We start from the raw sequence: 27,674 nt of genomic DNA, 5'->3' as shown, positions 1-27,674 counted from the left end.
AATTCTATACGTCAGCATTTATTAAAATAAGGATAAGAGAGAGCTACTGTAGATATCTCTAAGAAAATAAATAAATGATTATTGAATGTGTAGTTAAACTTCTTTTTGTTTGCCCATTTCTCTTTAGAGCCATGCGCATGAATTGCATTTGCGGGCTGGATTACCAAGGGCTTCTCTGAAATGGCAAAGAAAATAATGTTTGATTTCAAAATGCAATAATAGTAGCTATATGAAAACATGACTTTTGAGAGATTATTCAGCAAATAATACACTTAATGAAACTTGTTTTTTAAGAAATAGATATTTCAGAAAATATGGTACTACATATGATTGTTGCCAAATCATTCTGTATACTTAATGGTTGTTCAGCACTTTCTGTTTTATAAAGTACTTTCAAATATATCAATTCAGTTAGCTAGTACCCAAATCCTTGATGTAATCACTGTTATATAACATACAAGCAAACTGTGTGTAATAAATCACTCTGCAGTTGGAGTACAAGAGTAGGCATCAGGAAAGTGGCAGGTGTGTCATTTTGAATAAAGGCTGTTGTGGGAAAGGTTCCTTCAGACAGATCCCTCTCCCTAGGTATTTATGTGGTGAGAATAGCAGGTGGGGTTTGTGGAGTAGAGTCCGGGGCTTGTGCATCCTTAATTCAAGTAACAGCACTTGAATTAAAGGTTTATCCTAACTATAAAGCTATACATTTTTCTCATGATGTATTTGAATATATTCTTTTTAAGGAAAGAAAAAAATGTAGTCATATAAATGTTCAGGTCCTGAAGTATATGTATGTCACTTATTGCTATTCTCTTCTGTATTTTATGTGAATGCCACAAACATTTTTAAAATTTTAAAGAAGTAAACATATATACAACATAGATTTTTAAAATGAGATATATGCTGAAACAAAGTTTTGAGGAGGTATAATGTTCTGAAATGTAATTAGATGACAAATTATTTCTGGTACACATTTCCTAGCACTTATATTTTTCACCCACTCATAAAACAATGTGAAGTAGGTCATACTGAATCACCAAATTAAACATTCAAATTATTCTACATCTCCAAAAGTAGCCCATAATTAAAAGGAATTTCATATTGGAATAACTGGACCTAATTTGCTTATTCATTAAATTGTGTCCAAGTGTAGTCTCTGAATTATATCAATTAGGGAACTAGAAGGTATACTTAAAAAGAGCTGAATTAACAGTGCAAATAAAGTAACCACTGTGGATACTTTTGAAAATTCTAGTATTAATTTTGTTAGTCAATGCAATGGAAATACATCAGTAGCATAGTAATAAAAAATATTTCTTTTTATAGCATCTTTGATAATTATAAAATTAATAAGATTTATTATTTAAAAAACAGAATATATTTATAATTGATAGGTGAGTATTAGAATTAGCCTGACATTATTTTATGATTAATAATTTATTTAAAATATATTATATGATTAAGTGTCTATTTAAAATTAAGCCTGTTAAAAATAAAACTATTGATCTTTCCTATCCTCTAATCCCAAATTTGCTCCTCCCAAATTTAAACCCAGGTGAGTAATTCCAACTCTGTTCCTCCCATAGTTCAGGCCAAAACATTGCCAATATTATGGACTTTTGCCTCTAATATACAGGGTTCAAATATATCTTGTTTGCATAGAACAATTTCAATTTATAATTTACATAGTTTATAGTTTACAACAGCTTCAGGAATAGTTTACACGATAGTTTCCTCACTAATTTCCCTGTTTTCTCTTTTGCTATGCTATGGTCTATTTTCACAGATCAGTCAAACTGTTACTGCTAATTCTTTAAAGAGGCGATTGCTTTTCTGTTTAAAATACTTCATGGCTGCCAATTAAATAAACAAAAGTTCTTACCATTTTCTAAGAAGCTTTATGTGACCATCTCCCCATGGAGTGTGATCTCATCTCCTCTGCTGTATCACATTGGCATCCTTAGTGGAACCTCACGGGTGCGTTCATACACCAAGGCCTCATTTGCTATTTCTGCTCCCTGAAAATATGTTCTCTCAATTATGCTCTTGGCTCATTCTCTCATAACCACTCATTGTATTCAGATGATACCACCCAGTGAGGCTTTCGGCAACCATCTTGTTCAGTATCCAGCACCTCTTGTGCCCAGAACTCTCTATTCCCCTTCTTTGCCACATTTTTTAGAATAGAACTTAAACCATCTGGCATACAACACATGATACTTTGTGGTATTAATTACTGTTTTTCTCCCAACACTGGAACAACAGCTCTGTGAAGCCAAGACATTCTGAATGTTATTTTCACTATTTTTTCCCCAGTCCCTACAAATGGGCCTAGAATATGCATAGTAGATGCTCAATAATTTGTTGGGGAACAAATGAAAGTTGATCCTCAATAATATTTTATAATGAATAGGCTTACAATTTATGAAAAAGCCATAACTTATTTAGCCATCTCCCTAAATTTGCATGCTTTTGTAAGTAATACTATCATGGTTGTGAAAACAATTATGTGTGTATATACGTATATGTATATAGGTATTTTATGGCAATGATATACATACATGTATAGTCTTCTGTAATATTTACAGGTGCTTTTGTTTTGCTTGCATTATGCAGCATATATGATTTTATAGCTAGTATTCTGGATGTCCATGAAACATCAATTAAAAAGAAACTAATATTATTAAATAGCAGACCTGTTAAAGTGGTAGTCAAAATATTCTTTCCCCATCATATACCTCAGAGATTTCTGATGAACCCTTTTGAAATCTAATAGTGGCTGTAATCATAATAAATTTTTTCTAGGTAGTTTTACAAACACTTTTTAATCTTCAAAATTCAAGGCTAATGTATGCATGTTGAATGATTATGGCATTCATATATAAGCTATGTTTGGAACCAGAACTTACCAGTGCTTATATTTATGTGTAGGTATGATAGACAAAGCATAGGAATAACAAGATATCATTAGCTTATTATTCATTAAAAATATGAGTAGAACTGGTTTTGCTCTGTAGTTTTTGCTATGATAAACCTTAGCCATGAAAATAACCTGCTATTGAGCATGTGTGTCATCCATCTTATGACTCACCAAAAATAGGGAAATGAGTCTAGAACCATCAAAGCAGTTGACAACAGAAGTGAGATTTCAGCTTGGATGCATTTTATTATAAAAGTAGTATAATTATATTCAAGAATTTGTTAACCTTTTATCTCACTAAATAAATTTCAATATTCATTATAAATAACAAATTCAAGCATTTAAATATTATTTATATATTCTTAATTTTTGTTGTTTGTTTTAATTACACATGTCAATCCTGTTATGGAATGACATCAACATCCCCTTGTCAAGAGGATATTTTTAAATTTCCACATGTACATTTTAAGAGTTTGATACAACCCTATTTATCTATGATTTTCTCTTTCCTATAATTAGTAATTTTCACTGTAGAAGACTCACTTATAAAAGTGTATATTATTATATTTGGATGATAAACTAAAATTTTGAAATATTTAGAAGCATTGTTATGAACTCATTAAAATTATCAGAATCACTTCATATAAAATGATATTTAATATTTTCTTATACATAAATTAGTGACATTGTTTTGTACTTTTAATTTAATTTGATTATGAAAACTTTCTATGTGTTTTTGAATTTGTGTAACCTTAGACAGATTGCTAAGCCCATTTCATCATGCATTAATAGAATAGGATTAGATAATCTCTAAGGGCCCTTTTGGCTCTAAGATTATATGATTATAATTAATGGCACTGCAGATCTTGTAGAGGGACATTAAAATGGACCCATACCTGAAGTAACTTTTCAATTGAATTAGTACTTAGGGAGTTGAGACAGTAGAAACAAGGAAGGCAAAACAGTCTTTCATAACAGATCATAATAAATTTGCTAATATTATAGAAAAGTCATTGGAAACTGTTTATCCTTTCTTTTTTTTTTAATAGGACCTTCCCATTTTCACTTACAGTTTTGAATACATTTATACATTTCCTTCTTCAAACGTCATTTAAATTAAAAGTGTTTCTATTTTCTCCAGATGGAGTTTCAATGCTCATAAACATTTATATTAGGAGAGAATATAGTACATATTATCTAACTTAAGTTGAAAAAGAATGAAACTGTAAAATATATTTACCAAAATAATTAAGATTTATTTATCTTTGGTAGGCCTCAATTAGTTTACCTTTAAAAAGCATTCATTGATACAAATTTTAAAAATCCATGTAACAGACATCAATCAAATGTGATTTTTCTCCAGTTTATTATTTTCTGCCAGGGGAAATAAAATGCAATAATCACATTTTAAATATACATCTTTTTAAATGATTCTGTTGTTATACATATGATTGTTATTCATATTTTTACTGTTATTGAATGCCCCTGTACTGACCTTTCCAATTTGATAGTGCAGTAAGAAATAAACTTTTTTTTAATATTGAGAATTGGAAATGACCTGGTAATTTCTTTGTACTAGAGACCACTAATTGTCCATATAATGCATTCTTTCATTTTGTTTAGTAATAGAATCCTAAGTACTTATGACCACAAGCAGGAGATTACCTTCTATAGTCTCTTATCAGTGATTAATTTTGATCAAGTATAATATGAATTATATTATGAGCATAAATTTAAGTTAATCTCCATAAAGACAAAGCCGATTGTTTTTACATCTCTTCTTACACATTTTACTGTGAAGTATTGCTGAACTTAGCCATGAGGATGAAACACTAAGATAGGATTATAAAGAGAATACAAGATGAAAATCTCCTGGGGCCCAGGATGAACTCATGGAAAAAACATCCCCACCAACTCTCTTAATTGTTGGAGAGAAATATAAGACTACAATAAGGGTCACTCGTTATACTCATCATTTTTGAGTTAGAGATATTGACAAGTGTATCAAACTATATATTTTCTCCCACAAGACATTGAGGGGCACACTTCTTTTATTCTCCAAAAGTAACAAAAAATGCTTTGGTGTCTAATTTTTAGCCTGCAAGGTCTCTCATAGTGTTGTTTTCAAAGACTTACATGTTTTATTTCCTTACCTCACTGCAACATTATAAATTTATCTTCTGTGCTAACCTCATGATAGCATCTAATGGTTCCAAGAGTGAAGATTATCACTAGTTTATGAACCTTTGTATTCCCCAAAAGAGAAAGAGATATTACATAACCAAATTCCAAGTATGATTAACCAAGATTTTTCTAAAATTTTCCACCTCTCAATTCTGTCTACTAATTTGAAATAAATGAGCAAAATACATTTGCAACATGATAATTCTTCAAACTCGGCTCTTATACCAAGCAGTACTGATGATTGGGGCATTAACAAAACCAGTAAAATTGTTTTGCAAAACAAAAACGAAGTGAAAAATACGCTCAGCTTATCTTACACAATATTGTTTTCTACATCGAAAATGGCTAGATAACCTTAGAAAAAGTGGCATATACATTATTTACCTAAAAGTTATAGTAATCTGGGTAGAAGCTTAAAGTGATCTATCCTGTCATATAGTTGTCATTAACTAGGATATTAATTATTCTTAAAAGGATGCAAAATTTTTCCAAGGGATGTGCATCTGCAGACAGTTTTAAGGGACTATTGTCAAGAACTGTGAAGGATCTGAGCTTACAAGTTAGCCTGCTTCAGTTTTATGGATGCTGGCAGAAGACACATAACTCTTTGGTCAGAGACAGAAAGACTTCCATTATTTGCAGCACAGCACAGAGTTGCACGAGCTTCATCTTTGCTCTGGTTCCTGTTTTCCCTCAAGTTTACTGGAGATGATGACAAGGAGTTCAAGTTGATGCTACACACAGTTTGTGTCACAGATGAAGAACTCCAAGTAAAGGAAACTTAAATCTTTAATAAATGAGCAGTAAGCACACTTGTCTGATGTTTTCTGTGGAGGAAACACTATCTTCATTTTACTTGAAAATAAATCTGTTCTCTCATCCATAAATAAACAATATCTTGATCTTCCAGGGCTATCCACTATATAAAGATCTTTAAAAAGGAAAACCTGTAATAAATGTGAAGCTAGTGCCTTTCTATTTGCAAGATGCACAGAAATGCATGAGGCCAATTGAAAATTGCCTGTGAAAAAACACGCTTCCAGATTTTTAGCTTGCTCTTTTCTAAACATGAAAATTCTCAGAAAGTACGTGTTCTCAAGATTCATGCCCTTTCTTTTTTCCCAAGTTGCTTTATCACGACCATCTTATTTTTCACATTACCAAATAATGCACTTCCCTAAACTATCCAAAATTTTCCATGGTGTTATAGTTTCTAAGGTACTGAGAAGAAACTCATAGGTGAAGCATATTTATAAATTGTTTACAAAATAATATTGAATACATATTTTCTCCTTTTCCCTGTCACTAGTAACTTTTTCTCTGCTTGATTAATTTATATCACATATTTAATAGCCCAGTTTATTCAGAACATACTGAGAGGTGAAGCCAGCTGGACTTCCTAGGTGGAGTGGAGACTTGGAGAACCTTTTTGTCTAGCAAGAGGTTTGTAAAATGCACCAATCAGCGCTCTGTAAAATGCACCAATCAGCGCTCTGTAAAAAGCACCAATCAGCAGGATCCTAAAAGTAGCCAATTGCAGGGAGGATTGAAAAAAAGGGCACTCTGGTAGGACAAAAATGGAACATGGGAGGGGCCAATACGTGAATAAAAGCTGGCCACCCCAGCCAGCAGCAGCAACCTGCTGGTGTCCCCTTCTATGCTGTGGAAGCTTTGTCCTTTTGCTCTTCACAATAAACCTTGCTACCGCTCACTCGTTGGGTCCATGCAATCTTTAAGATCTGTAACACGGCAAAGGTCCGTGACTCCATTCTTGAAGTCAGCAAGACCACGAACCCACCAAACCCACCTGCAGGAACCAACTCTGGACATAATACCACATGGCAATCTCTGTTCTAAGCATTGATGTGTACAGGTTATTTACTCCTCATAAGAACACTGAAAGATAATTGCTACTTACTGGCTCCTTCTTAAGGTGAGTAAGCTAGAGACAGATACTCATGATTTGCTCAAGACTTCAGAACTTGTCTGTGGCAGAGCAGAGATGAGAATTAAATTTGCTAGCCACCATTTCTTGGAATTTAAACACATTGGTATGCCACCTCTTAGTATATGTAATTAATGACATGCAGTTCACAGAATTATGTTATTTAAATTATATTGGACAGAAATAAAAAAGTACGGTTGACGAACAACATGAGCTTGAGCTGTGTGCATCCCCTTATATAGAGATTCTTTTAATTAAAAAAATCAGCATCTGCATTGAAATGTGGATCAAAATACAGTAGCCACAGGATGAAAAACCCGCAGATATGGAGGACTGACTTTTTGTATACTCTGGTTCCACAGGATTACTTGAATATGTGCTGACTTTGGTATCCTCTGGGGTCCTGGACCCAATCTTTTGAGGATATCAAGGGACCACTGTATTTTTATTTAAAATGACAAGAGTAGAGAATATATGCAGATATATCCCGAGGAACATCTTTCAGGTATATGCTTTTCTATTTTAATTCCTCTTAAAAAAACACACACATCTTAGAACTTACAATGTATCGATACAAAAATGTGGCCATTATTTACGTAGGAAAAGTTTATATACTCCTCCGGAGGGTAGGAAATGAGATTGCAGTGCACATGGGGTTCTGCCACTCACAGTGTAGGATGTTTCACCATGTCTTCCTGAAATGATTTGCAAATAGTCAAGAACAAATGACTGTGGTGATAGAGATGTATTTATTGCTGCCACCTTGTTCCCACTTCACCGTTGCATATTTGTACACAGGACACATATTTATTCTTTTAAGTTTAGATTTTACTGAGAAATGAGGACCTTATCTGGACCTCACTGGGAGAATTATGAGTGGCCAGAGATACTACATTTTGAGCTGGATGCCAGACCTTGAAAGAACTCTGCATTTTTCATTTTGAGAGAAGTCAGTGTGTTTTATAATGGGAGGAAGATTAAAGCAGGTATTTTGGCATCAGAAGGACTGACCTTGACAGAGATTGGTGAGATAACATTATTTCCTTCTTTGGACCACAAGGAAATGCTGTATTTTTCAGCCTCAATTGCAGGTAGGATGAGACCATTTCACTGGTGAATGAAATGTAGGTAAAAGTTATATTTCCCACTTTTAGACTGAGCTATAAGATACCTCACGCAATGCTTCTCATACTCCTCTTTATATTAAATGCAGGGGATTCAGTGAAAACCTTTAAGGAATTTCAGAAAGTTAATCCTCTACTGAATTATTATATGAATGAGAAGAAAAAAAATTGTGTTAAGTCACAGATATTTGCAGTTTGGTTCAGAAACTAATATTAATTGCCCTGACTAATACACTGAGATACTAGTGATGATTCTGCAATGACTGCTTTTACAGTGAAAGTGACCACAGTGGCATGCATGGATAAATTTAAGGTGATAAACATTAGGATTGCTTACATATTTTTTGGCTTCTTCATACACATGGTAGGATATAGCTCACTGCCCTGTTTAATTCAGTTATGGAATGTGATTTCCTTTTGCTTATTGAAATGTTAGTAGACTAAAGTGTCTGTTTCCTTCTAGAGGCAAAAATTCAGAGCGTGCCTCACAACATTCTTTTTTTCCTTGACTACAGTAACTTTCAATGTTCTGGAGTGGCTGCTTTGTCCTCTAGATCCTGGTATAAAGGTGACAATGACCCATGAGTAGAATCATAAGCAACACCAAGGACATGTGAAATGAGCAACTTATGAATGAATTGATACAGGCTCCTGACATTTAGAAATTGTTTTGTTATCACTCAGCTTAGTTTTTCTGATGTAATTTAATTGCTCTAAGGAAACAGTATCTGCTGTGATTTGTTACTGTCTCTTACTGCCCAGTGGTTGGCAAGGCCAAAAGTTCTAGACGCGGCAGTATTCTGAGAGTTGAGAGCCAATATATTTTCTTGGCAGTGCTCATGCTCATGGTGCACTTGAAGCTGTGTCGATGCTGCCATAGGAACACCACAAGCCAACCTTGTTTCTTCCATGGTTGCACTCTTTATGTATTCAATTACAGACCTCAGGTGTGTCTGACATGAAATAAACATACGCAGGCATCACGACGGTAATCAACTGATTGCTTCAATGTGCTGGTCTTTGTAGGTCTTGAGAGTATCAACCTGGAAAAACAAGCTCTTAACTTTAATAATTTCAGCAAGTTAATATAAAGGGAAGTTCCACATATAGGTCTGGATCAAGTTTTTCTATGAAGTAGTTGCCAATTAGAAAAGTTTCCTAAACAACCCTAGCAAAAAATTGTGTAAAGATTCCATTCACTTATTACACAAAACAGTATATTTTATGAGTGCTACCTTCTACTTTGGCCATTAGATAAAAGGTCTCTTCACCCTTCTTTTGTCGTGTTTTGCCTAAATATTTAGGCATATAGCTATAACCCATCATTCCCTTTTGAAAACAAAGAATAATAACCAAAGTAATATAATCTAAACCTGCTTTAAAGTCCAAGTGTAGTTTATGTTATATGTTCCTGTAATTATTTGTCATCTGTGGCTCAAATCCCTTTTACTAAAATACTTTGCACTTCACCATAAACAAACTTGTGCAAACAAACAAGACACAGAAGCGATATAAAACTCCCAAAATCAAGTTACTAAGTTTCAGTAACAAATAAACCTGAATGTGTAATTAAATAGATTATAATAATGCTGAAAATTCTGTATTTTAGGTTCTTTATGATCTAGAGTTCTTCACATGTATTTAGTAAACCATTCCAAGTGCTATATTTCTTGCTAATAAAACCAAATAACAATGTTCAGGGTAAATTTTAATGAATTAATGCTTATAATGCAAACTATGCTTTCATCCATTTTATTCAGAAGCACACGATTAATTATACAACAGATATTTTATATGAATGTTCAGAGTAAAGACTATTTGTATTTGCTTGAATGACAACATAATTTATTAAATGAATAAATACACGGATTCATCTTCTCCATCACCATTTCAGGCATGTTTTTGTGACATCTACCTTCTTCACCATGAACTCCTTCCTAACCAACCATTATATCTAAAATAAATTATCAGCAAACATAAATAATGTGCTATTCCAGAACTACCTCACATGAGCTAGATGATGGGAGGCATAATTCATAATAAACAGACCCTACCTTTAAATTCTATAAAGCCACAGCATTTAAATTATAACTATGCCACAGAGCAGTAACCTATTTTCCTATTAATTATATCCCATAAAAGCAATATAGCTTCACTAATTAATTATACTTGAAGTAACAACTATGGCTTAATTAAATGAACCATTCCTAATAATGAAACCTTAAAATAATTGGACTCTTCTGTCTAGAGGCAGTAACAATTATTGTCATTGGAAAGGATTTCAAACATGGCTATGCTAAGCAACGCTGATTCATAACTGACATTGAACCTGAGATTTCCTAGAGCAGTAGCTCTCAAAACCTTTCGTGAAGGGCCAACTATTAAGTATTTTAGAATGTACGTGCCATGTGATCTCTGTCACGAGTACCAATATTTGCCATCGTAGTGCATAAGTAGCCGTAAACAATATGTAAAATAAAAGGATGTCACTTTATTCTAATAAAACTTTGTTTACCAAAATGTATCAGTGGCCTGATTAGCTCTGTGCTTTGTAGTTTGATGACCTCTTATATAGAATCGAATTATTGAACTCATCTCTACTATGTTTCTAGATTTTCTAGTATTGTATTCTAGGTTTCTATCTTTCTCATCTATCCATCTTAATGGTTAAGTTTTACAAACCCTTATCATATATAATATTATTTAAATTATATTAATCTGCATTTAACACACATCTTCCTCTATTTTGTAATTTAGCATTTTTGAGCCATTAAATTTTAAATTACAGTAGAGATGTAGACATTATGTAAAGGTATATTACTTTGTTGTATATGTTCATAAAAGACAATAATGGCCACATTGAAATGACACAATACGATCTACCAAAAGCGAGTAAGGCAGAGATTGTGTACATAAGTAACCAAGTACAAGTTCTGTCCTTCAAGTGAACCCCTACATCATTATTATTCCCTTATGGTGGAAATTCCAGAAGTAGATAGCACATAAATTTTACATCTTCATATCTGATATATGGATACCTTTTTTATCAAGTATTCCTTTTTTTTTTTTCTTTTTTCTGAGATGGAATCTCACTCTGTCGCCCAGGCTGGAGTGCAGTGGCGCGATCTCGGCTCACTGCAAGCTCTGCCTCCTGGGTTCACGCCATTCTCCTGCCTCAGCCTCCTCCAGACTAGCTGGCACTACAGGTGCCCATCACCACGCCTGACTAATTTTTCCTATTTTTAGTAGAGACGGGGTTTCACCCTGTTAGCCAGAATGGTCTCGATCTCCTGACTTCATAACCGCCCACCTCGGCCTCCCAAAGTGCTGGGATTAGAGGCGTGAGCCACCGCGCCTAGCCCATATGCCTTCTTTTATTCATGGTTTACTAATTATAATATTCTATTTATATAATTGAGAATTCCTTGTTCCGTTTTTCTTTCTCATTTTCTTTCATCCCAGTCAATCATTTTCAGTCAAAATGTGTGTATATATATATATATATGTGTGTGTGTGTGTATATATATAGTGTGTGTATATATATATGTGTGTATATATGTGTGTGTATATATATGTGTGTGTGTATATATATGTGTGTATATATATGTGTGTATATATGTGTATATATGTGTATATATATATGTGTGTATATATGTGTGTATATATATGTGTGTGTATATATATATGCATATATGTGTATATATATATATAGATGGGAAAGAAATACAGAGAAATCTAGGAAGCATTGTGAAAAAATGGTGTGAACGTATGCATCAAAAAGTAATATTACAATTTTATTCAGTATCCCATCCAAACTTTTCTCCTGCAGGACTTTCATGCTTGCTATTGTCAAATCTTCTCCCTTCTGCATAACTTTCATTTATCTTCTCTATTATTGCTATTGTCACATAAATGTGCTTTTATATATCACATTAGAAAAATAGTCATTCTCCTCAGTCTACGTCTCACAAATATAGAACTACTTTTTTTTCTTCTTTAGAGCAAACTTTCTCAAAAGTATTAAGAAAAGTACAATGTGTAAAACAAGCAGCAAGAGAGGACATCTGTGTTAGGCTGAATAATGGCCTCAAGAGATGTCAGGTCTTAATCCTTAGTACCTGTAAATGTAACCTTTATGGCAAAGAGACTTGCAGATGTGAATAAGTGAAGAATTTTGTGATGGAAGATTATCATGAATTATCTTGGTGGGCTCTAAATGCAATCTTAAGTGTCCTTATAAGAGTGATGGAGAGGGAGATTTGACATAGAATCTAGGTTATGTGATCATGGAAGTGGAGAAATATTTGAAAATTATACGCTGCTATCTTTGAAGATAGAAGAAGGGGCCTTTGAGACAAGAAATGTAGTTCTAGAAGCTGCGTTTCTGGAATAATTTCTAGAATTACTCTCCCCTGAGTTCTCTGGAAAAAATAGGGTGCTGATCACACCTTGGTTTTAGACCACTGATACTGTTTATGAATTTTTGACCTTCAGAACTATAAGAGAAAAAGTCTGTGTTGCTTTAAGCTACCCATTTTGTGGCAATTTGTTACAGCAGCATAGGAAAATAATAGAGAATCTCTTCTTGTTCCCAGGTTTAAAAGCAAGCCTTCTAACATTCCCACATTATTATGTCATAAGATATTGTTTATAGGATTTCAAAAGATACACTTTATCAACTTAATGAAGTGCCTTTTAAATCCTAGTTTAATAAGAGCATATAGATATACAGTAAATTAATGATAAATTTTATCAAATACTTCTTTGTATCAATATCTGTTAGGATACAGATCTTATGTATCTGCATCTACTGAAATTATGTGATTTTTCTCATTTACTCTGTGAATGTGATGAATAATATTCTTTTTAATTGAATCACAATTATAGAGAATTGAATTAATCATCATTTTGATTAATGACATACTTTCATCTTATGCCTATTCATGGTCATCTTTTATATGTAGGTAATTAAATAATAACTTTTACAGTGTTAGAAGCAACCAGCATATAGCACCCTGCATAAAAACTAAAACCTGAAGAATGACCACATTTAGCCATATAGTTTCTCACTCCCATCTCATCCTCTATAATTACCAGTGTTTGAACCACAGCCTCTTTCTTCTCTAAACCACTAGCTGAAATCTAAACTCAGCACTCCAACCTCCCATTTATTGATTTCTGCTAGGCTTCTTGACGTCTCACCTTGTGCATACATATCTTTGATACTGGCCACACTTAAGGGGCATTTGTATGCAGATATTCAGGCTCTCTCTCTGTGGTTACCTCCTTCTTGGAAATTTGTCTCGTGAGCCCCATACACACTAGATACTCTGAACTCTAATCTCTGTCACCTCAACACAGTAAAATTTCACTTTCCGTGTATGCTTTCTTTCTTCACATCAGTATTTGGGAAATGTTATTAGAGGAAAAACATCTGAGTGAATGTAATTTATAGTCTATAATTATTTCTTTTTAATAATGATCCCACTCAAGCTCTGTATACATTGATTGTTCTCCGGTGTCTTCCAACAGTTGTCTAACATATTTTGCCCAGCTTTTCTAGCCAACTTCAGGGTGTGAGTTTGTGCTACTTTATCATGGACTGAACCTGAAATCCTCTAATTTTATTGAAATGGATGGTTATTATAGTTCATGTTGCATTTCTTGTGTTTCCAATACGTTTTTAGATTTTCTATTTCTCCACAATTCTGGAATTAAGAATCCATTTGTTTCATTCTAATCTAGTTTCTTATACATAATGCTAAAGGGAGTGTTGTTTCAATGACTGTCAATAACTTCTACATGGGCACCATTCACATTTCCCAAAGTCTCAGCAGCATTTCAAATTGTTGAAAATTTCTTCCTCTTCAAAACATTATTCATTATAGAGTTCGTTAAAAATATGCCAACCTTGCTTTTCTTCTTGCCACCTCAGCTTTTTATTCCCAACTCAATTGCAATACATTTTTTTTTCAGCTCATTTGGCATTAATTTCTATTGTCTGTTTCAACCCTTCCTTGGTGATTTAACAATAAAAATAAATAATTCCTTTAAAAGGCTCATAAGTGTCGGTAACTCCCATAGCTTTACTTTTACCTTTGACTATTCTTCAACCTTCAGACTTAGACACAAATTTGTTTAACTACCATCTTGCATTTCTCTCATGCCAAACGTCCACATGACTGATAGTCCTGTTATTTCTTTCTTCAAAGTATATATCAAATGCATTCACTCTTTCCATTGCCATTGCTACTATTACTGTTTTAGTCAATTCTGACTGCTATCACAAAGACCTATAGACTAGGTGGCTTAGAAATAACAAATATCAATTTTTTCACAGTTCTAAAGGCTAGAAGTCTGAGACCATGGTACCAGAGTGACCAGGTTTCAGTGATATCTCTCTTCTAAGTTGCAGACTACCATTTTCTTCTTGTATCCTCACATGTCAGAGAGTGAGAGAACTCTCTTGGGTCTATTATATAGGGGAACTAGTTCCATTTAGAAGGGCTCCAACCTCATGATGTAACCACCTCCTGAAAGTCCCACCTCCTAATACCATCATATTAAGGGTTAGGATTTCCACCTATAAGTTTCAGAGACAGGGTGGCAACAGCCATGCAGTCCATTGCAATCACTATCCAAGACATCATCGTCATCATTATCTCCATTCCTTTTTTTTTATTATTATTATACTTTAAGTTTTAGGGTACATGTGCACAATGTACAGGTTAGTTACATATGTATACATGTGCCATGCTGGTGTGCTGCACCCATTAACTCATCAATTAGCATTAGGTGTATCTCCTAAAGCTATCCCTCCCCCCTCCCCCCACCCCACAACAGTCCCCAGAGTGTGATGTTCCCCTTCCTGTGTCCATGTGTTCTCATTGTTCAATTCCCACGTATAAGTGAGAATATGCGGTGTTTGGTTTTTTGTTCTTGCGATAGTTTACTGAGAATGATGATTTCCAATTTCATCCACGTCCCTACAAAGGACATGAACTCATCATTTTTTATGGCTGCATAGTATTCCATGGTGTATATGTGCCACATTTTCTTAATCCAGTCTATCATTGTTGGACATTTGGGTTGGTTCCAAGTCTTTGCTATTGTGAATAGTGCCGCAATAAACATACGTGTGCATGTGTCTTCATAGCAGCATGATTTATAGTTCTTTGGGTATATACCCAGTAATGGGATGGCTGGGTCAAATGGTATTTCTAGTTCTAGATCCCTGAGGAATCGCCACACTGACTTCCACAATGGTTGAACTAGTTGACAGTCCCACCAGCAGTGTAAAAGTGTCCCTATTTCTCCACATCCTCTCCAGCACCTGTTGTTTCCTGGCTTTTTAATGATTGCCATTCTAACTGGTGTGAGATGGTATCTCATTGTGGTTTTGATTTGCATTTCTCTGATGGCCAGTGATGGTGAGCATTTTTTCATGTGTTTTTTGGCTGCATAAATGTCTTCTTTTGAGAAGTGTCTGTTCATATCCTTTGCCCACTTTTTGATGGGGTTGTTTGTTTTTTTCTTGTAAATTTGTTTGAGTTCACTGTAGATTCTGGATATTGGCCCTTTGACAGATGAGTAGGTTGCGAAAATTTTCTCCCATTCTGTAGGTTGCCTGTTCACTCTGATGGTAGTTTCTTTTGCTGTGCAGAAGCTCCTTAGTTTAATTAGATCCCATTTGTCAATTTTGGATTTTGTTGCCATTGCTTTTGGTGTTTTACACATGAAGTCCTTGCCCATGCCTATGTCCTGAATGGTAATGCCTAGGTTTTCTTCTACGGTTTTTATGGTTTTAGGTCTAACGTTTAAGTCTTTAATCCATCTTGATTTAATTTTTGTATAAGGTGTAAAGAAGAGATCCAGTTTCAGCTCTCTACATATGGCTAGCCAGTTTTCCCAGTACCATTTATTAAATAGGGAATCCTTTCCCCAATGCTTGTTTTTCTCAGGTTTGTCAAAGATCAGATAGTTGTAGATATGCGGCGTTATTTCTGAGGGCTCTGTTCTGTTCCATTGATCTATATATCTGTTTTGGTACCAGTACCATGCTGTTTTGGTTACTGTAGCCTTGTAGTATAGTTTGAAGTCAGGTAGTGTGATGCCTCCAGCTTTGTTCTTTTGGCTTAGGATTGACTTGGCGATGCGGGCTCTTTTTTGGTTCCATATGAACTTTAAAGTAGTTTTTTCCAATTGTGTGAAGAAAGTCATTGGTAGCTTGATGGGGATGGCATTGAATCTGTAAATTACCTTGGGTAGTATGGCCATTTTCACGATATTGATTCTTCCTACCCATGAGCATGGAATGTTCTTCCATTTGTTTGTATCCTCTTTTATTTCATTGAGCAGTGGTTTGTAGTTCTCCTTGAAGAGGTCCTTCACATCCCTTGTAAGTTGGATTCCTGGGTATTTTATTCTCTTTGAAGCAATTGTGAACGGGAGTTCACTCATGATTTGGCTCTCTGTCTGTCTGTTATTGGTGTATAAGAATGCTTGTGATTTTTGTACATTGATTTTGTATCCTGAGACTTTGCTGAAGTTGCTTATCAGCTTAAGGAGATTTTGGGCTGAGACAATGGGGTTTTCTAGATATACAATCATGTCGTCTGCAAACAGGGACAATTTGACTTCCTCTTTTCCTAATTGAATACCCTTTATTTCCTTCCCCTGCCTAATTACCCTGGCCAGAACTTCCAACGCTATGTTGAATATGAGTGGTGAGAGAGGGCATCCCTGTCTTGTGCCTGTTTTCAAAGGGAATGCTTCCAGTTTTTGCCCATTCAGTATGATATCATTATCTCCATTCTATATTCGGATAATAGTCTCTGACTTTGTCTTTTTGCATTTATTCTTTTCCCCTAAAGTGATTCTTCAAAGAGTAATGTCAAGGAGAACCAGAGCCAGAGGATAATTAAAGCAGTAAAGAAGATTTTATTCAGAAATTACTGCAAAACAGGAAAAGAGACTTTAGTAGAGAAATGAGCTCAATTCCAAATACAAGCACACATGGAAATTTGTAGCAAAGGAGCAGTGTGAAGGGGTCAGTGGATGGAAAATTATTAAGAGGAGACGTCAAAAGTAGGGGAACTCTTGCTAAACCAAATTAACAGGATTCTTGCTGAAGGCAGCTCAGGGTGATCAGATATCAAGATTCTCTCTATATGGACTTAAGGATTCTTGTTAAAAGTGAGCTATGGAGACTAGGCAAGGGGCCTAGATGAAGATCTAGTTGAGAGGAGAGCTCAAAAATCTGACTAAAGTTTGATGAAGGAGAGAGTCTTTGTCAGTATTTGTGTTAATTTTTTTTAATTACTAAAAGTGAGGCTTATTTGCATTCTTCAAGGACTTACCAATTAATAAGCTATGTTAAAATCTCCAGTTGTAATGTCTATTTCTTCCTTCAACTTCTGTTATTTCTGCTTTATGAAAATTGTAATTTTGTGTATGTTATTAATATATATTTTATTTTTAATGTAGAATGAAGCATGAATCCTTCTGTAGAATAAATTTCCCTTCCTTATCCTGTTAAATTTATTTTGTCTTAAATTCTATCTTGTCTCATAGCAAAATTCTGACAACTATTTCAGGATCTTGCTATCATACAAGATCTATCTTTGCTCTTCCTTTTACATTAAACCATTCTGAATTGCCTTGTTCAATATGTTTCTTGCACACAGAATAGATTGGATTCTGCTCCATTAGCCAATCTAAAAGTACGCCATTTAATGGTGAGTTAAGCCCATTTGTGTCTTTGATATACCTGTTATGCTGGTGTTAAGTTCTGTTATATAAGTTTTTGCTATATAAATAATTTATATAAAATCTTGCCCTGTATTTACACTTTAATTTGAGGCGCAGGATATACTCATCTGGTATTTATAAATGTTTCTATGTTTATTCTTATTATTATCTTATAATAATATTATAATAAAATATACTAGTCCTCTAGTGTGTTTGAATACTATCTATTGTTTTCTTCAATGAGTAGTAATACTGTTCTCTAGTAAACTCTCTTTCCTTTCTTCTCTCTTTTGGCTTAACATTTATTTACTTTAATTCCATATTTTTTAATGGCAGTTAGATACTCCCGAGATAGTCATTAAGATTCGTCTACTTTCTTTTTCTTCTCCTTTTTTCTGTTTGTTGTTGAGTTGCATTATTTCTTCATGTTTAACACACTTAATAGCATCATGTTTTGTCACTTTAATCCCCATTACTTGCTCTTAATTATAAAATTAAACATATTTAGTCCTTATCCAGAAGCTTCACATGATGTTTGTCTTCTTGTCAGTAGGTAGGACATTTCTAAAAAAGCCATCACAGGAACAATGTTTTTTAAAATCATAAATATTCATGATGTTCTACATTCCTTAGACATGATTCATAGTTTGGATGAATAAAATCTCATCTCGCTACTGTGTTATCTGTTTCATAATCATTAAACCATTTCTTGATTATCATCCTGTATAAAATATTGCTATCAAGAAGTCTATTATCAATATAAACTTCTTATCCTTTTACCTTCATGCTCAAATAATTAATATTATTTTTTATTTTAATTTTTGTTCTTAGAAATAACCATTACACGGGTATTACTATTCTTTGCCTAAGTTTTATGTTTAGAAAATTTTTAGATGTTTTTAATCTCTCAATTTCTGTTTTTTACTCTTATTTTTATACTCTATATCTCTTACTATAGTTTGTACCACTTCTATTTGATTTTATGTACCTTCAAATTATTTTTTTCTAAAAATTATTTTCTAAAAATTATCTTACTTGTCTCAGATTATCTGATTCTCTGATTAATTTTGATTTTGTTCCAATTGTTTTTCTTCAGGGTAAGTATTTTTCTTTTGCGAGTGAGCATTATTGATGATTTCTTGTTGTAGTTTATTGATATTAAGATCTTACAATACTTCCTTTTATCTTCATTTTATCTTTGCCATTAACTCCAGCTGGTACTGGCCCTATGCTGCCAGTGATTAGGACAATTACTCTTGTATTCTGGGTTTCATGCTGATTATTTGTCACCTGTTTTAGTTGGTGATGTCACCCATGGGTTTTTCAGTTACTTCTCCTAACTCCTCTGCCTGGTGTTTGGTACAGATCCAGACATAAATGAAAGAAAAGGAGATAGATAGATAGATGGATAGATAGATGATAGATAGATAGATAGGATAGATTAGATAGATAGATAGATAGATACATATTTACATATGTACTTACATACCATAGTTTGCTGCTGAGAGTCTCTCCAGTTTATTTTATTTAATATTCTCATAATCTAGAAGCTATTCTCTACAATGATAAAATAATCCAACTCTCAGGCAATACTGAGCAAAATATAACGTAACTAATATCTCAACATACTTGACCCTATATTTTATATGAAAATAAATGAGGTCAGGCGCAAAGGCTCATGCCTATAATCCCAGCACTTTGGGAGGCCGAGGCGGGTGGATCACTTGAGGTCAGGTGTTCGAGACTAGCCTGACCGACATGGTGAAATCCCGTGTCTACTAAAAAAAACCACAAAAATTAGCCAGGCATGTTGGTGCATGCCTGTAAGCCCAGCTGCTTGGCAGGCTGAGGCAGGAGAATTGCTTGAACCTGGGAGGTGGAGGTTGCAGTGAGTTGGGATCATGCCATTGCACTCCAACTTGGGCAACAAGAGCAAAACATCTCTGAAAAAAAAAAGAGTAAAACACTGGTTGCTCTCTGTTTTAGTAATGTGTTATTTATTAGGTAAATGTGATACATATTAAGTAAAGTGGGATTTTTCTTAGAGAAGATATTTATCTCTATTGAGGTAGCAAAATAAATATGTATAGATTGAATGAATTTGTCTCCCTTTAGGTTTAAATAAGAAATGGGTGTGTGTGTTTTCTTGGCCTATTCCTATTTTTCCTGGCTTATTCATATTCTAATTCCTCTTGTTTATATAATTATTCACTTTGATCACCTCATATATCTTATCTTTTTCGGGTGGCCTAAAAGCAAAAATATTCTTACAGTCTAGTCAGCATTTGCTGTGCTTCTTATTATTGTACTTGTTTAGCACAAACTTGATGCTGATTCTACTTCTCATTCTTCATGACAAAACAAGTGGAAAAAATATCTGGGAATTGGCTCTATGACATGGCTAAATAACACTAATATGGGTCTTGTGCTCTTAATCTATAAAATGGGAATAATAAAAATATCAAGTCTGTAATCACTGCTATATGAAAACCCCGAGTTTTATGAGTGCTTCTGGGAATACCTAGTAAAGAAAACATATCTGTGTGCTTTATCTTTTAATAGTTAAAAACAGTTTTGACAATAAGTAGTTTATATTTATTAGTTATTATAATACATATAATTGTAAATAGTTTATAGGTATTAGTTATTATAATATACATGTACATATAACACATTCATATAAACTATAAGTAGTTTATACATATTAGTAATTATAATATACCTATTATAATAACTAAGAATAGAAAAGCAATGTAGAAACTAAGAGTTATATAATACCCATAGTAATTAATCAATAAGCAAATACTATTTTTAGTATTTTTATACTATTTGTATATGTATTCATTACTTTATGTATATAATTCTTTATATAATTCTTAGGTTCTATAATACCTTTATTCTGTATATTTTGAATTATGTATTTAATAGCCTAATATATTTCTAATTTGCAGAAAACAAGGAAAATTGTCTTCCTTCAATTATTATAAGTATGCATTTCTTTATCCAGGGAGGCTAAAAGGCAAGATCATAACAAGCTATTATATGGAAAATTGGTTCTTCAAAATATTCCTTTTAAAATTGAGGCAACAGAATCATTTTTCCCTCTCATTGTATGTTTAACTTAAAATTGTTTCAACAACAATATGTAGATTGCCAGTTCAAGTTCTCAGGTGTAACAAGACTCACATTTCTTTGTTATACAATATAATATAAATATAAAGTAAAACATTATATTAAAATGAAAGTTTTATAATATTTAGACATTAATATCTCAGCCTTTCATTAGCATATTATTTGAAGAAAGGCATTCACTTTTTCACAGGTTACTTCCTTGCTCCTGAAAATGACGATGTTCTATTTTCTACTATTTTTGTCTAAAAATTTAAACAGGTTAGTATATCCTCTGCATAAATGCTACAAAATACAATGCACAATAATTTTGTTAAAATTACTAAATATTAGTAAAAAATTCGATTAGTTTTCTTAATAATTGTTTCCTTATTTTTCATATCTATATATGCAGTCATTCTAAAGTTAAGGACTACTCTCTTGATAATGGAGAAATCTTTCAACACACAAAAACAAAATTTTTATTGTCTTTTAAATAGGTCCTGAGAAGAGGACTAGAAAAAGGCAACACATCAAAAAGTTAAGAGGCAGAAATAGCTTTTATGTTGCTGGTAAATTTAATGAGATCTTAAGTTTTTCGACTGGCAAGTCTCATCTCTTTGAGCATCTCAGTGAAGACTGTCAGAAATCATCAAAATTCAACACAACAGAGTAAAAGCTAATAGCATTTTTGTTATACCAAAACTGAAAGGATTGGTAAGACTCAAAATGAATGCTATTACTGAAAATCTTCTTTTATCTAATTCTTTGTGCAGTGAGTGAAAATTGAACAAATACATATCCTTTTTATGGTGTTAAAATGAATTCTGACACTATTAAACAAATATTCTTTGGTCCTAAGACCTCCTCAATACTTCTTTCACAAGCAGTATTATTAGAATATCCTATGTGACTCTAGTTCAAAATATTCTGGCTATCATTTGATTATTTTCTGTGAAATAAAAATGCAGCACTCCATTTTTTAAAAAATACTGTGTTTTGATGAAGAAGGAAGTTTTGAGTGGTTATCACATTAGAGAAATTTTTATTGTAATCAACCTTTGATAATTTCTGACATGATTAATATTTATCTTCTTTTCTAGATGTTCTTAAGTAACAAAAAGCAATAAAGATAAAATACAGGACATCAAAGATATCACATACATTCATATATCTCAAGAAATGAAAGCAATGAAAGAGCTGTGATATGATCCATATTTTTTGTTTATTGACAACTAATGCAAAATTCCAAACAATAATGAAGCAACTACAGATTGGGGAAAATAGTAAATCAGAAAGAGCAATTGAGAGAGCCTTTTTAGAAAAAAGTTTTCTCCTTTGGAATTATGTTACATTTTGAGTAATTATTATGATATTCAACCATTAATTTATACATTTGTTTTTAATTTAACATATATTTTGAGTACTAAATATATCAGGCACTATTATAGGTGCTTGTGCTAATTAACAACCAGTTTTCTAGAATGTGTAAAGTGCCATAGAAAATACCTCTTGGGTTCTATGCTCACTACCTGGATGATGGGTTCAGTCATACCCAAACCTCAGCATCATGCAGTATACTCTGTAACAAACACTCACATATATCCTCAAATCTAAAAGTTGAAATTTAAAAAAAAAATAAAAAGCAAATAATTATATTAAGTATATTAACTAAAACAAAACTGATTCCGTTTTAGAAAAAGAATTTAGAAATGAGGGGGAGTGGAGACTAGAATAACACTTATGGTGTTCAATCAGAATCAAAACTATCAATATATACTTAAGTTTACTTTTTTTCTACGTTAGATAGAAATTGAAAAGAATGTGTAGATATATAAATAGACCTAGACGCACATGTTTGTGTGTGAATGTGTATATATATATATATTTTTATTTTTGAGATGAAGTCTTTCTCTGTCGCCCAGCTTGGAGTGCAGTGGCCCAATGTCGGCTCACTGCAAGCTCTGCCTCCTGGATTCATGCCATTCTCCTGCCTCAGTCTCCCAAGTAGCTGGGACTACAGGCACCTGCCACCACGCCCAGCTAATTTTTTTGTATTTTTAATAGAGACGGGGTTTCACCGTGTTAGCCAGGATGGTCTTGATCTTCTGACCTCATAATCCGCCCATCTCAGCCTTCCAAAGTGCTGGGATTACAGGTGTGAGCCATAGCGCCCGGCCGAATGTGTGTATATTTCTTAATTTTAACCACTAAGACTAGAAGCAATAACATTTTAATAGCAATCAGCACATCTAGCATTCAAATCTTGGATTCACTTTTTTCTTCTTTAAAAGGATACAGAGCTCCTTGGATCAATGCCTGATTCTAGGTGCATGCGGCAGAAAGAACAAAATGGGTCTGAGACATCTGTTGTTGTTAAGAAAATAAGGAAGTCTCAACTAATGATTGAGACATGCCAAAGAACATAGGAGCTAACTAGAAGTGGCTCTCAGTGACCCAAACTGAGATAAATTGAACAAGGGAATAAATAATGATGGCAATAGATTATTCAGATTAATTAAACCAAATACACATGAATCCACACTAATATAAATAAATAATTGGATAAATAAGAAAAGTGGGACAAAGGAAAGCTTTTCCATACAGTAGAATTCTAATCAATAAATATAGAAAGAATAGTGGAAATAGATTCTCATTTCTTGGCAAATACCACATAATTGTTGCAGACAAGTCTGCTAAAATTAGTGGATACAATTATGAGAAACAAGATATTTACATAATCTCCAAGTATCTCTCAACAAAATACTGATTTTAAAAATGGTAACTTTGAAGTGGAGAAATGTGGCAGACAATGTCTTATTCAAGTGATCAGAGTTAACGTCAACAATATTAGGACACGATAATATCATGTGCCTCCTGATATGATGCACTGAGAAGGACAACCTCGGCATTGTGGCATTCTTGCCAAAATATATTATGTGAATTTAACCATGAAGAAATATTAGAAAAAAATCAAACTTCAAAATAATCTACAAAAAACAAGTATCAAGGGCATGAAAGACAAAAAGAAAAGCTGAATTTTCTTTTTTAACTTTTTTTTTTTTGAGATGGAGTCTTGCACTGTTGCCAAGGCTGGAGTGCAGAGGCGTGATCTCTGCTCACTGAAAGCTCCGCCTCCTGGGTTCACGCCATTTTCCTGCCTCAGCCTCCCAAGTAGCTGGGACTACAGGTGCCCGCCACCACGCCAGCTAATTTTTTGTATTTTTAGTAGAGACGGGGTTTCACCGTTTTAGCTAGGATGGTCTCCATCTCCTGTCCTCATGATCCGCCCGCCTCGGCCTCCCAAAGTGCTGGGATTACAGGCATGAGCCTCCGCACCCGAATAAAGAAAACTAAAGAAATGTAGCAGATAAATGCAATATGTGACCCTGATTTTGATCCTAGTTAAAAAACATTAGTGGAACCATGAACAAAATATGTAAATAAGGTCTGTAGGTAAGTAACTAATTCCGTATCAATTTCCTAATGTGAGTAACTGTACTCTTAGATATGGTGTTAGCAGTCAAGAAGCTGGGTGAAGAATATATAGGAATTCTTGATTTTTTAAAATATATTTTTGTAAGCTTTAAAGTAGTTCAAAATGAAAATTTTAAAATAAAATGAATAAAAAAGAAAAAGGATAGGATGGATCTTCTGAAGTATTGTGCTAAATATGAAATTCATGGTCCATCCCTGAGGTCTTTTATATTACAGTGTTTAAGATATAAAATAAATGTAAAGAAAACCAAAGAATGATCAATAGTGATTAAAGTTATCACTATTTCTGGATAAACCATGTTCTACGATAGCACATAACTGGTGATAGCTTGGAGTCATGTGAAGACCTCTCCAAGAAAATGAAATGTAAGGCCGGGCGCGGTGGCTCACGCCTGTAATCCCAGCACTTTGGGAGGCCGAGGCGGGCGGATCACGAGGTCAGGAGATCGAGACCATCCCGGCTAAAACGGTGAAACCCCGTCTCTACTAAAAATACAAAAAATTAGCCGGGCGTAGTGGCGGGCGCCTGTAGTCCCAGCTACTTGGGAGGCTGAGGCAGGAGAATGGCGTGAACCCGGGAGGCGGAGCTTGCAGTGAGCCGAGATTGCGCCACTGCACTCCAGCCTGGGTGACAGAGCGAGACTCCGTCTCAAAAAAAAAAAAAAAAAAAAAAAAAAAAAGAAAATGAAATGTAAAGTGATGACTTAAATATGGAAAAGGAACCATTTGATTAAAAAGCCAAACTATGAAGCTTCAAAGACAAGATGTTACCTTGTGCAAAACCCTGCCATGGGGAAAAACTGTGTTTCAAGAGTGGAAAGAGCCCTGTCTCATTAGGAGTGAGGGTCTTGAATGGTGCCTGTGGTTGTAGACAGCAGAGCAGAGCTTTAGCATCCTGGAGATTTGTAATTGTACTCCACAAGTAACTAAAGGATTTAAGGCAGAGGAGGGAAAGAATCTTGCTTACATTACAAAAAATAAAAAAGAAAAAGAAGAAATAAAAAAATAGAAAAAAGTAATATATATTATTATTATTACATTGGTTTATAGTAATTGGTTTATATCTAATTTGTTTCCCTGTGTTTATAATACATATATATCTCTGCCTCTTAAACCAAGAATAATTTTTACAGGGACAAGAATAAACACAAGGAAATGAATTAGAAAACTATTAAAGTGAAACGACAAGAAGGTGGAGACCTTGTTCAAAATAATGAAATACATATTTAAGATATGTGCAAGTTTGAAGAAAAGAGCCACTGATAGGGTTTTGGTGTATTAGATAAGATAAAATCAATGGGAACACCAGCTGAAGTAAACAAACAAGCATACACACACAAACTGGGAAGCAGAGAAAATAACAAAACTCTACTTAAAACATTATGAATTTCAGTTGTCTATAAAACAATCCACATTTGATATTAAGTAAGTAGATGACTATGCAAAGCTCTAACTCAGAGAAGATACCAAAATTGGAAATATTCTGAGATGCTATCATGTAACTGGCCTTTAAACTCATGAAAATGCTTGAGAACACTCAGGGGAAAAAGTGAGTAAGTAGAGAAAAAAGAAAGTACTCAGCTAAGTGGATTGAAGACAGTACAGGAAATATTGAAGGAGACTGTCTATTGTTTGATTGATTTCTTTCAAAGAAAGAATACAAAGTAAGTTGATAACTGAAGGACAACGGTAGGTCAATGTAAACTTTTAACAAAAAGGGAATTATTCATTAATGAGAATGATAATACTAAAATGAGAGGGAGAGCTAAGGGACAGAATTTACTTAATATTGGGAGATCTCATCAATTTAGCATAAGACATGTGGTAACTTTGTAGAAGGTTATTGTTATGAATGCTGTGGGAGTGAATGCATTGGGAAACTAAAATAGAATGTTTGGCACTGTTGAGTATCCTTTTAACTTTTGTAGTGAATTGAAATCATGTTATTAGTTACAACGTAGATGAGCCTGGAGGACATTATGTTAAGTGAAATAAGACAGGCACAGAGAGAGAAAAACCACATGTTCTCACTTATATGTGGGAGCTAAAAATGAGCTTATAAAAGTAACAAGTAGAATTGTAATTATCAGAGGCTGGAAAGGATGGGAATAAGAAGAGGATGGAAAGAGGTTGGTAAGCAAAGTTAACTTTGTAACAAAGTTGTAGCTAGAAGGGAGGAATAGCTCTAGCGTTCTGTAGCACTGTAGGGTGAATTAAGTTAACAATAATTCAGTGAATTTTTTTAAAAACCTACCAGATAGAATTCTGAATATTCACATCACAAGGAAATGACAAATGTACAAGGTGATAGTATGCTAATTACTCTGATTAGAATATTTCATATTGTATACATGTATCAAAATATCACTCTGTATCCCATAAATATGTATAATTATGTGCCAACTAAAAACAAAAGAAAAAATAGAATTCAAAATATAATCAATGTTCAACAAAAGCTTATTAAATTAAGACAAAGAAGCTATTGAAAATCATTTTTAATTCTGAATTTAAATTAAAATAATCTAGCTTAATTATGTCATTTCCCCCCAGAATTCTTATGCTTTTTGGATGCTAGCCCATTAAAAAAAGGACAAAATTTGGAATCATATTGTTTACTCTAATAACCTAGTCTAAATCACGATTCTAGAGAGAAGTGGTAAAGACTCAAATTGTTATTATATTAGAAACTTAGCCTTCTGAAGGCAATATTAGGGAAAAAGAACTCTAGGCCACAATGAGAATGAGAGTAGTTTAAACAGGAAAAGGAAGAATCAGAGAGATTATTGAAAATGCCATCAACTAAGCATAATTCAAACAGAAAACAACATATATATATATATATATTTTTTTTTTTCACCTAGGATTAGTAAATCAAGAAAATTGTATTACAATTTTATTGGATGGTGAGTTCTATAATACACTAAGTATAAAAAAAGTAAAAGACTTGACATATACCATAATAAAATATTTAATAAGAACATATCTAGTAAGTACATAGAAATATATAAATAAAAACAGCTTTATTCAATAAGTATTTGTGACTATTATATATCTTATCTCATTTATCTTCACATTATTTTTGTAGGATAAATATTACTAATTTGATGTGTTGGTTGCAAAAAGGGAAATGTCACTAAAAGAAGTC

The 27,674-nt window shown here is 33.5% G+C and overlaps 1 long non-coding RNA gene across 1 annotated transcript; it reads left to right on the top strand.

Moving 5' to 3' along the window:
- The first annotated feature begins 19,825 nt into the window (after positions 1-19,825).
- LOC107986992 (uncharacterized) lies at positions 19,826-26,410 on the top strand. Its single transcript, XR_001746443.2, has 2 exons — positions 19,826-21,748; positions 22,135-26,410. It is a non-coding gene; the product is annotated as an uncharacterized LOC107986992 (long non-coding RNA).
- Positions 26,411-27,674: the final 1,264 nt, after the last annotated feature.

Source organism: Homo sapiens, chromosome 9 (genome assembly GCF_000001405.40).
Source record: "Homo sapiens chromosome 9, GRCh38.p14 Primary Assembly".
NCBI classification, from domain to species: domain Eukaryota; kingdom Metazoa; phylum Chordata; class Mammalia; order Primates; family Hominidae; genus Homo; species Homo sapiens.
This window is presented reverse-complemented; position numbering and strand designations above follow the sequence as displayed.